The sequence below is a fragment of the Homo sapiens genome, chromosome 3, assembly GCF_000001405.40.
Source record: "Homo sapiens chromosome 3, GRCh38.p14 Primary Assembly".
NCBI lineage: Eukaryota > Metazoa > Chordata > Mammalia > Primates > Hominidae > Homo > Homo sapiens.
Window position 1 is genome coordinate 99,275,996 of NC_000003.12, and position 12,442 is coordinate 99,288,437.

At 36.9% G+C, this 12,442-nt stretch overlaps 1 long non-coding RNA gene across 1 annotated transcript in view; it reads left to right on the top strand.

The window, feature by feature from the left end:
* The first annotated feature begins 1,851 nt into the window (after window positions 1–1,851).
* LOC124909399 (uncharacterized) overlaps window positions 1,852–12,442 on the top strand; it is a 38,409-nt gene continuing 27,818 nt past the window's right edge. The window contains exon 1 of the long non-coding RNA XR_007095979.1: window positions 1,852–1,975. This is a non-coding gene — a long non-coding RNA (uncharacterized LOC124909399). The remainder of the gene's footprint in view (window positions 1,976–12,442) is intronic.

Sequence of the window (12,442 nt, forward strand, 5' to 3'; positions counted from 1 at the left end):
ACCAATTTCAGCCCTTTCCCCCTATGTTTTCATCTGGTAGTTTTACAGTTTCAGGTCTTATATTTAAGCCTTTAATCCATTTTGAGTTGATTTGTGTTTATGGTATGATATGAGGGTCTAATTTCATTCTCCTGCATCTGGATATCCAGTTTTTCTAACACCATTTATTCAAGAGACTGTCCATCTCCCATTGTGTTGTTGGCACCTTTATCAAAAATCAATTGACCATAAACACATGGGTTTATTTCTGGGCTTTCTATCCTGTTCTATTGGTCTAAGTGTCTGTTTTTATGCCAGTACCATGTTTTATGATTACATTTGCTTTATAATATGTTTTGAAATCAGAGGGTGATGCACTCAGCTTTGTTCTTTTTGTTCAAGATTATTTTGGGTCTTCTGGGTCTTTTGTGGTTCCATACAAATTCATGAATTGTTTTTCTCTATTTCTGTAAAAAATGGCATTGGAATTTTGACAGAGATTGCATTAAATCTGTAGATCAATTTGGGTAATACAGACTCTTCAAAATATTAATTCTTTTAATTCATCAACTTGGGATATCTTTCCAAACTTGTGTTTCCTTCAGTTTCATTCATCAGTGTTTTATAGTTTGGAGTGCATAGCTCTTTTACGTCCTTTGTAAAATTTACACCCAAATATTTAATTTTTTTGGTTGTTATGATGAATGGGATTGTTTTCTTACTTTCCTTTGTAGGATAATTTGTTATTAGTACCTAGAATCACTAATAATTATTGTATGTTGATTTTGCATTCTGCAACTTTACTGAATTTGTTTATCAGTTTTCACAGTTTTTTGGTGGAGTTTAAGATTTTCTATGTATAAGTTCATGTTGTTAATAAACAGAGACAATTTTGTTTCTTCCTTTCCTAATAGGATCCCTTTTATTTCATTCTCTTTTCCCATTGCTCTGGTTAAGACTTACAGTTGTACTATGTTGAAAGTAAGTGACGAAAATGAGCATTCTTGTCCTGTTTCTAATCTTACAAGAAAAGCTTTCAACTGTTCATTCAACACTGAGAATAATTTTATCTATGGGATTGTTACATATGGCCTTTATTGCATTGAAATACTTTCCTCTGTACCTAATCTGTTAAGAGTTTTTATCATGAAGTGGTGCTGAATGTTTTCAAATGCCTTTTCTTCATCTATTGAGATGATTATATGATTTTTAGTATAATTCTTATTATATGACCACTGAGAGATGCCAAGTGTGAGAAGTATTGCTGCGTCTAAGATGCAGAGCCCACAAGTAAGCCTAAAGAGAACTCTAAGTGGTAAGGATGGCCTCCGGCTGACAGCCATCAGGACAGTGAGATCTTGGCCCTATAATCACAAGGTACTGGATTCTGAGGATTACTCCCAGAGCCTCTAAATAAGTGCCCAGCTTGTTGACACCTGGTTTGGGCCTGCAAATGCAAAACCCAGGGCAGAGAAACCAGCTGAATCAACAGAACCTTGAGAAAACAAATGTTATTTTAAACCACTATGTTTGTAAGATCGTGGTAATTTATTGCAGCAGCAATAGAAAACTTAAATATACATATATGTGTATATATGTATGTGTGTCTGTGTATATATATATTTATATTCACCAACAAATTTCCCCTTTGGCATTTTTAATGGTTTCTTGCAGATCTGGGCATCACTTGCTTTAGTCTAAATAATTTATTTTATTCTATAGTGCAGGCTTCCTGGAGACAAATTTCTCAGCTTTTATCTTTTGTCTATCTGAAAGTTTATTTAATTTATCTTTGTACATAGAGCATATATTCACTGGAGATAGAATTTTATTATAACAGTGTTTTTTTTTTTTTTTTTTGCTTTCTTTCAGTTCTTTTAAGATATATTTCCAGGGGAGACAGAGTAAGATGGCTCCACCAATTGTTCCCCCGACAAGGACACCAATTTAACAATCATCTACACAGAAAAAACACCCTCGTAAGGATAAAAATCAAGTGAGTACTCATACTGCCTGGTTTAACTATTTATTTCTGAAAGAGGCATTGAAGAGATAGTAAACACAGATGCCACCCCTCCAGCTCTCCATCCCTTACCCCGAGCAGCTGCATGATGTGGACAGCATCTCCAGGCACTGGGGGAGGGAGAGGACAGCAATTGTGAGGCATTGAACACAGTGGTGTCCTCAGTGGTATTAGAGCAGAAAGGAAAATCGGACCAAACTCAACTGACATCCCCAACACAGAGGGAACATTTAAACCAGCCCTAGCCAGAGGGGAATTGCCAACCCCAGCAGTCCCTGCTTGAGTTTTGGCAAACCTCGCCACTGATGGCTTGAGTGTTCTGTGTTTCCAAGGAAACTTGAAAGACAGTCTAGGCCATAAGGACTGCGAATCTTAGGTGAATCCTAGTGCTGAACTAGGAACAGAGACAGTGGACTTGGGGGGATGGGGGCACACAATCTACTGAGATACCAGCTAAGGTAGCCAAGAGAGTGCTGGCATCAAACCTCCCTAACACAAACTGCACGGCTGGAGGCTCCAAAAGAAACCCCTTCCTTTTATTTGAGGGAAGGAGAGGGAAGAGTGGGGAGGACTTTGTTTTGCATCTTGAATACCAGCTCAGCCACAGCAGGATAAGGCACTGCTCAGAGTTGTCAGACACCCATTCCAGGCCCTAGCTCCCAAAAAATATTTCTAGACACATCCTGGGCCAGAAGCGAACCTGCTTTTTTAAAGGAAAGGACTCAGTCCTTCCAGCACTCATCACCTGCTTATTGAAAAGCCCCTGGGCCCTGAATTAATAACAGTGATACCCAGGTACTATATCGAGGACCTTGGGTGACCCTCTGAGACTTGCTGACTTTAGGTAAGTCTCAGCACATTACCAACTGTGGTGGCTACAGGGCAAAACTCCTTCTGCTTGAGAAAAGCAGAGGGAAAGGGAATGGAGACTTTGTCTTGCACCTTAGGTACCAACACCGCCATGGTGGGTAGAGCACCAAATGGGCTCTTGGAATCCCTGATTATAGGACTTGACTTTTGGATGTCATTTCTGGTCCTGCTGTGGGCCAGAGGGAAGTCCACTACTCTGAAGTATGAATCCCAGGCCAGGCAGCATTCACAACAAGCTGATTTAAGAGACTTTGAGCCTTAAGGGAGCATCAGGGGCAGTCTGGAAGTACTTTTTGAGGCCTGGGGTAAAGGTGGCTACAGAGTGAGACTCCTCTCCTCAGTCTTTAGAAATGAAAAGAAAGAGTGAAAAGGACTGCATCTTGTGGTTTGAGTGCCAGCTCAGCCTCAGTATGATAGAAAACCAAGTAAAGTTCTAAAGTCTTTGACTCCAGTTCTTGACTCCCAGATGGCATGCCTGGACCCACCTGGGACGTGGACGACCTTGCCATGCTGGAAAAAACAAACAAACAAACAAACAAACAAACAAATAAAAAACCACGATCCTGGCTGGCTTTGCCACCTGCTAATTGTAGAGCCCCAGGTCCTTGAGTGAACATAGGCAGTAGCCAGGGAGTGGTTACAGCAGGTCTTGGGTGAGACCCAGTGCTATACTAGCTTCAGGTCTGATCCAGCACAGTCATAGTAGTGGTGGCCACAGGGGTGCTTGTGTCACTCTATCCCCAGCTTTGGATGGCTCAGCACAGAAAGAGAAAGACTGTTTGTTTGGAAGAAAGTAACGGAAGACAGCAAGAGTCTCTGCCTGGAAACCAAGAGAATTCTCCCAGACCTTGCCCAAGACTATTAAGATGGTACCTCTACAAGTCTGCAAGAACCATAGTGTTACTGGGCTTGGGTACCCACTGAATCAGATACAGCTTAGATCACAACAACCAAGTCCTTTCATATGTCTGTAAATCCTTCCCAGGAAGAAGGGCTATACATAAGCCCAGACAGTGAAGGCTACAATAAATTCCTAACTTTTCAATGCACAGACACCAAAGAACATCTATTAGCACCAACACCATCCAGGAAAACATGACTTTGCCAAATGAATTAAATAAGCCACCAGGGGCCAATCCTGGAAAGACAGAGATATGTGACCTTTAAGACAGAGTATTTAAAATAGCTGTGTTGAAGAAACTCAAAGAAATTCAATATAACACAGGGAAGGAATTCATAATTATATCAAATTTAAGAAAGATATTAAAATCAAAATAATCAAGCAGAAATTCTGGAGCTGAAAGATACAATTGGCATACTGAAGAATGTGTCAGAGTCCTTTAATAGAAGACTTGATCAAGCAGAAGAAAAAATTGCTGAGCTTGAAAATAGGCTATTCAAAAATACACAGTCAGAGGAAACAAAAGAAAAAAGAATAAAGAAGAATGAAACATGCCTACAGGATCTAGAAAATAACCTCAAAATGGCATATTTAAAAGTTACTGTCCTTAAAGAGGAGGTAGAAAAATATATAGTGGTCAAAAGTTTATTGGCAGATATAATAGCAGCCAACTTCACAAATCTAGAGAAATATATCAATATTCAAATACAAGAAGGTTATAAAACACCAAGCAGATTTAACACAAAGAAAGTATCTTGAGGCATTTAAAAATCAAACTCCCAAAATCAAGGATGAAGAAAGGATCCTAAAAGAAGCAAGAGAAAAGAAACAAATAACACACAGTGGAGCTCTAATATGTCTGGTAGCAAACTTTGTGATGGGAACCTTACAGGCCAGGAGAGAGTAGCATGACGTATTTAAAGTGCTGAAAGAAAATATTTTTACCCTAGAATAGTATATCTTCAAACACAAAGAAGAAATAAGGACTTTCCCAGACAAACAAAAGCTGAAGGATTTCATCAACACCAGACTTGTCCTACAATAAATGCTAAAGGGAGTACATCAATCAGAAAGAAAAGGACATTAATGAGCAATAAATAATCACCTTAAGATGAACTCACTGGTAATAGTAAGTACACAGAAAAATGCAGAATGTTATAAAACTGTACCTGTGATGTGTAAACTACTTTTATCCTAAATAGAAAGACTAAATAATGAAGCAATCAAAATAATTACAACAAATTTTCAAGATACAATAAGATATCTTTTCTATAACTTTTCAAGTATAATAAGAGATAAATAGAAACAACAAAAACTTAAAAAGCAGAGGGATGAAGTTAAGGCATGGAATTTTATTAGTTTTCTTTTTTCTTATTTGTTTGTTTATGAAAATAGTGTGAAGTTGTTATCAGGTTAAAATAATGCATTATAAGGTAGTATTTACAAGCCTCATGGTAACCTCAAATCAAAAAAACATACATTAAATACACACAAAATAAAAATCAAGAAATTAAATCATTTCAACAGGGAAAATCTCCTTCACTAGAGGAAGACAGGAAAGAAGGAAGAGAAGACCACAAAGCAATCAGAAAACAAATAACAAAATGGCAATAGTCAGTACTTACTTATCAATAATTACATTGAATGTATATAGACAAAACTTTCCAATCAAAAGATATAGATTGGCTGAATGGATGTTAAAACAAGATACACTGATTTGCTTTCTACAAGAAACACCCTTAACCTATGAAGACACTGAAAATAAAGGGATGGAAAAAGACATTCCATGACAATGAAAACCAAAAAGGAGCACTAGTCGCTATACTTATATCAGACAAAATAGATTTCAGGACAAAAATTGTAAGAAGAGACAAAGAAGGTCACTATATAATGATGAAGCAGTCAATTCAGCAAAAGCCTATAACAATTTTAAATATATATGCACCCAATGCTAGAGTACCCAGGTATAAAGCAAATATTATTAGAGCTAAAGAGAAATATATCTATATAATAGACATATTGTGTGTCTATATAATGACATATATAATTATATGTCTATAAATATGTCTATATAATAGACATATTTCAATACAATAATTGCTGGGGACTTCAACACTCCACTTTCAGCATTGGACATATCTTCCAGATAGAAAATCAATAAAGAAACATCAGAATTAATCTGCACTATACACCAAATGGACCTAGAGAAAATATTTGCAAACTACCCATCTGACAAGGGATTAATAAGTAATCCCTTGTCACGTTACCAGCTTCCATATTTAAGAAGCTCAACCAACTCTATAGGAACAAAGAGCCTAATAATCTGATCAAAAAAAATGGGCAAAAGGTTTGAATAGAAATTTCTCAAAGGAAGACATACAAGTGGCAAATAGACATATAAAAAGGTGCTCTTATGGGACCAGGCACAGTGGCTCACGCCTGTAATCCCAGCACTTTGGGAGGCTGAGGCGGGCAGATATGAGGTCAGGAGTTCAAAACCAGGCTGGCCAATATGGTGAAACCTCACCTCTACTAAAAATACAAAAACTAGCCAGGCATGGTGGTGTATACTTGTAGTCCCAGCTACTCGGGAGGCTGAGGCAGGAGAATTGCTTGAACCCAGGAGGTGGAGGTTGCAGTGAGCCGAGATTGTGCCACTGTACTCCAGCCTGGGCAATAAAGGGAGACTCTGTCTCAAAAGAAAAAAAAAAAGGTGCTCAAGGTCATTGATCATCAGAGAAATATAAATCAAAACTACAGTAAGGTATCATCTCACACCAGTTAAAATGGCTATTTCAAAAACACAGGCAATAACAAATGCTGGCAAGGATGTGGAGAAAGGGGAACTCTTGAACATTGCTGGTGGAAATGTAAATTAGTACAACCACTATGGAGGTCAGTTTCGAGGATCCTCAACAAACTAAAAATTGAGCTGCCATATGATCCAGCAATCCCTCTGCTGGGTATATATGCAAAAAAAGTACATCAGTATATTGAAGATATAGCTGTGCTCTTATGTTTGTTGCAGCACTGTTTACAATAGCTAAGATTCAGAAGCAACCTAAGTGTCCATCAACAGATGAATGGATAAAGAAAATGTGGAGCATATACACAATAGAGTACTATTCAGTCATAAAAAAGAATGAGATCCAATCATTTGCAACAACATAGGTGGAACTGGAGATCATTATATCAAGTGAAATAAGCCAGGCACAGAAAGACAAACATCGTATGTTCTCACTTATTTGTGGGATCTAAAAATCAAACAAGTGAACTCATGGACATAGAGAATAGAGACATGGATATAGAGAACCAGAGGCGGGAGGGGTAGTCGGGGGTTGGGGGAGGTGGAGATTTTTAATGGGTACAAAAAGTCAAAGAGTGAATAAGTCCTACTATTTGGTAGCATAAAAGGGTGACTACAGTGAATAGTAACTTAACTGTATGTTTTAAAATAACAAGCAATGTAATTGGATTGTTTGTATCTGGAAAAATAAATGCTTGAGGGAATAGAAAAAATATAAAAGAAAATTATTACATTATTTAAAAAATATATAAAACCTCATTGTCAGAATATATGTAATCAGCAGCTTGGTATTCTAATATGTTGGCCTTATGTTCTGACAGTGCTATTACATCAACTGAATAAGGATCACTTGTATCTATCCAAAAAAAGATATTTTTCTAGCAAGAAGCTATCATTCTTATCATTTTTATCTGTGTGTAAGCTGTCAGGGTTTTTCTTCTTTATTACTTTTATGAATTTTCACTTAATCCTTGGTGTTCATCTTTTGACTATGAGTTTTTTTAGTGTAGTTTACTTTGTATTTATTCTATGGGTTTTGCCAAGTTTCTTGGATATATGGGTTAATAGCTTTGTATCAATTTTGAACAATTATAGAGATAATATGTGCAAATATTTCTTCTGTCCCATTCATTTTCTCCTCTCCTTCTGGGACTCCGTTTATGTGAATGTTAAACTGCTTGATTTTAATCCTATAGATCTTGAATGCCCTGTCCCATTTTTCTCCTTTTTTTCTCTTTGTGTTTTGGTTTGAATGATTCCTATTGTCCTGCCTCCAAGTTCATTTATCATTTCTACTGCTTTGTCAAATCTGCTGCTAAGCCTATCAAATACTTTTTCTGTTTTTCCTTCTGGAATTTTAATTTTGTCAGAGTTTGCATCTTTAGGTTGACTTATTGTAGCTTCACTTAGATTTAGCTAACTTTTGTCTTCCAATATTTTGAAGAAGATATTAGGACTTTTCAATCAAGTGGGGCTTAGAATCTGAACACTGGAAGACTCCAAAGCCCTCTTTATTCTTTACTTTAGTCCATCAGCTTTAGTCTCTTTATACTTTTAGCTATCAGCTTTTCAAAGCATAAGAGATGGTTCTCTGCCTTACAGTTCAGTGCCACCTCTTTCATCAATACAGATTTTTCTTTTCCTTTAGTCCTGTCTTCAGATTCTCTGAATCCAGGAAAATTTTTCTCTGTCCTATTTCTTCGTCAAGCCCTGAAAGTTTGCTCCAGCACATTTGGTGCAGATGCAAAAGACCAGAGAAAAAGGAGGAAAGAGAGAGACAGAGACAGAAAGAATGTGTGTGTGTGTGTGTGTGTGTGTGTGTGTGTGTGTGTGTGTGTGTGTGTGTGTGTTGTTGGGCTGTCCTACCTGGCCCCAGTCTTTGGTACACAACTGCTGTGCACTCAGTGAAGATAAGGGTTGTAGGGTGGGTATAGGTTCTCTGAAGCTGGAAGTCCATAGGATTCTAATCCATCCATCACTCTGGACCACAGGTGACTACTAGAAATTTGGTAATAATTAGACTGACATCTCTTTATAACAGATTCCCTCTTGTTGTGTTTCCATAAATGAAAGCAGCTATGAGTTTCTTTATTTAGGTTTATTTGCGTTCTTGACTCTTTAATGGGTTTTTAAAACCTATGATTTTGTAACGTTATCAGCTTGCTTCATTATTAGCTAGGTAGAACTTTGTCTGGTTTTACATAATAGTAAATAAATTACTTTTAAAAGTCCATGACAAATTTATTCTATATCAGAATGTGTGTTGTATAAAGGAAACTGTTTATTTTGAAGGAAAAGGGGTTTTATTGGATTTCGTTATACAATATAAATAATATACTTTTCTTTCCCTTTGGATTTAAGGGAAGTTTTTTTTTTTTTTTTTTTTTTTTTTTTTTTTTTTTTTTTTTTTTTTGAGACAGAGTCTCGCTCTATCACCCAGGCTGCAGTGCAGTGGCACAATCTTGCCTCACTGCAACCTCCACTTACCAGGTTCAAGCAATTCTCCTGTCTCAGTCTCCTGAGTAGCTGGGACTACAGGCACAGGCCACCACACCTGCCTAATTTTTGTATTTTTAGTAGAGATGGGGTTTCACCATATTGGTCAGGCTGGTCACAAACTCCTGACCTCAGCTGATCCACCTGCCTCAGCCTCCCAAAGTGTTGAGATTACAGGCATGAGCCACCGCACCCGGCTGGATTTAAGGGAAACTTTGAAGGAAATATTTTTAAGGGATACCTTAAAAGTATTTCCTTCAAAGTTTCCCTTAAATATTAAATATTTTAAAAATAAATTTAAATATAATAAATAAATTTAAATATAATAAATATAAATAAATTTAAACATTAAAAAACAAATATTTTTAAGGAATACCTTAAAAATATTAGATACATCTTTCCTTAAGCAGTTAATCTTTGTTGGCTCTGATTCAAAGTGATCACAAATTCTGAAATTTCAAAAATTTCTACTCACTTTTCTTTGCCTCTTGATTAGTTTATTCCATTCTCTTTAGCCATGCAGGCATTTCCCTCCCCTCTTCTATAATATGAACTTTTCTTGAATAATCAATTTATTCCATTGGCACAATTTCCACATGTTGTGGGAGGGACCTGGTGGGAGGTGACTGAATCATGGGGGCAGGTCTTTCCCGTTCTGTTCTTGTGATAGTGAATTCTCATTGTATTGACTCCAGTAGAATGCGTAACATTTGGGTTTCACTAAAGGTGTATTCTGCTTTTGCATTGGAGTCATACACTATGATTTTAAAATCACAACTATTCTCATTATGCATCATTTCTTAACCTCTATCAGATTTATACCCATATGATCAGTAGAATTTCATCACATCTTAAATCAAAATAATTCTCAGATAGTATTGAAATGAATCTTCTTTCATTTTGGGAAATCTGAAGACAAAACAAAAAATTGGGCATCTAGGTCACTTGAAAGAGTGTGGGTTTCTTCAAGGGCTTCTGCTAATCTGTTCCTTTTATTTAGCACCTGGTACTGGTAGATCTGGTATACTAGACATTGATACTTTCTGCTTCAAACCTTGTCTGGCCTACAACTTCATCTGCTGAATTCATGGATATTGCACCCTCTAAGCACAAACTGTTTTTGGTTTCCCTATACTTTTGTGCTTACCCATTCCAGGGGAAAGCAGAAACTAGAACTGGGACTAATCCTGATTCCAATAGAAGTTTTGATCTCAGGCCCAGCCCTGGCCCCAGCTTTAGATAGAATTTCAATGATCTCCCTTTCACTAAATCACACAGTCACTTAAAACTCAATCAGTGATTCATTTGGTTTAGCCACCTACCCTTCCAGAGCAAATGGACCTTGGAAAGCTGCCAGTCCTTTATAAGTCAGTGCTAATTAGAGGTATTTTTTCTTTCCACTGAGCACCTAATTGAGATGAGTCACATGAATAAACAAAACAAAACAAAAAATCCCTGTTTCAGAGATAAATAAGATATGAGTAATAATTTCAGATCAGTCCTGAATTGTTACACCAAGTAAGGGATTTTGGTCTTGAGATGCTGGTAGAGAAGAGATGAAATCAACAGGAAATGGTGCAGAAAGGATGCTTAAATGTTGCCAGAAATGAATTTCATCAGCTTAGCAGTTTTGATTAGATCAACCCTTGTTGAGTAATTTTTCAACCTACCATTCAAGATAAAGGAAGCAAATCCTTTTCTGTTTCCCAAAATTCAGTTCTCTGTTAATGAGACTGTGAGGAAGATATACATTTAAAAGAGGGCAAGGAGAGGATACCTGCTCTTAAGTGATGGAGAGATTCTTACATTTTTAAGGTATAAAGTGGCCTAGTTCATCATTTATTTAGGAAGAATGTTGAACCTGATATTATAATACTTGATGTAATATCAAAATATTTAATTCATTAGACATATATAGAGCACCTACTGTGTGCTAGGCATAATTCTGTTAGATCCAAATATAGAAAACTTTTAAAATAAGAATGAAGTGTTTTATGGTGCTTATATTTAAAGACTGTATGAAAAATAGCTTCAAAGGAATAGCTAAGTCTTTGTGCACAAGACAGCCCAGCATGACTTGGGATGCATTAACTTTGGAAAAATCACACTTTATACTGCTCAAACTTCAAGCAAAATCATGTGTTATATGGCAAGGATTTACAAGTGTAGGTACCTGTCTTTGAATTTATACTCAGAGTCTAAGTTGATTTAAAAAAAAAAAAAACAGCTTTCTCTTGGTGATATGGTTTGGCTGTGTCCCCACCCAAATCTCATCTTGAATTCCCATGTGTTGTGGGAGGAACCTGGTGGGAGGTGATTGAATCATGGAGGGCAGGTCTTTCCCTTTCTGGTCTCATGATAGTGAATGGGTCTCACAAGATCTGATGGTTTTAAAAACGTGAGTTTCCCTGCACAAGCTCTCTTTTTTTGCCTGCTGCCATCCATGTAAGATGTGACTTGCTCCTCCTGCCTTCCACCATGATCATGAGGCCTTCTCAGCCATGTGGAACTGTAAATCCAATAAACCTTTTTCCATATAAATTACCCAGTCTCAGGTATGTCTTTATCAGCAGTGTGAAAACGGACCAATACACTTGGTTTATTTATTTTTTTAGTAATGACAAAAAAGACAGGTAAGTTTTTTCATACTACCCAATTTCACATCTGCTTATGATACATAAAAGACATATTAATATTTTGACATTTAAAATGCATATTGCAATCATAGATGCATAAAATCAAAAGGAAATAATTCTGATTTCATTTTTATTTCTATTCATATTTTCTCCAAGTTAAGAAGATCTTTGCTTAACTTATTTTTAGGAACACTGTGTTACATATGTTTCCTCAAAAACTTTTGGTTTTGGCTCCTACATCTAAAGAGCTTAAAAGTTGTCACTCCTGTTCTTACAACAAGAAAAAAATGAACAAACTGGAAATCAGTGACTTTTCTTGGACTCATTAAAGAACTGAGCTGCAAGGCAAACCTCCACCCTAAATCTGGAAAGACAAGTAAATCCAGAGCGTCACAGTCAAGCCCTGCTAACCTGAAACAGTAGCTGCTAGAGCCATAAACTTGTTAAAACATTTTAACAGTAATTTTGATGAATTGCTGGAAGCTGGTTCTGGACTAGCATGAGAATGAGAAACTCTTGGGGCATTGCAGTCTGGGGCGTGAGGCCCACAATTTCATGGGTTTTACCTCCAAGAACCTCACTAGGTTCTCATGATGAAGAGCCAAGAAATATATCCTTATTGCTCAGGCAGAGGAAGAGGAAGAGTGATTACTGAGAAATATATCTAGAGAGTCTTTATAGCAAAGGCCTACTTTTCAGGGAAAAAGACACTACTAGAACTTTATCTCATC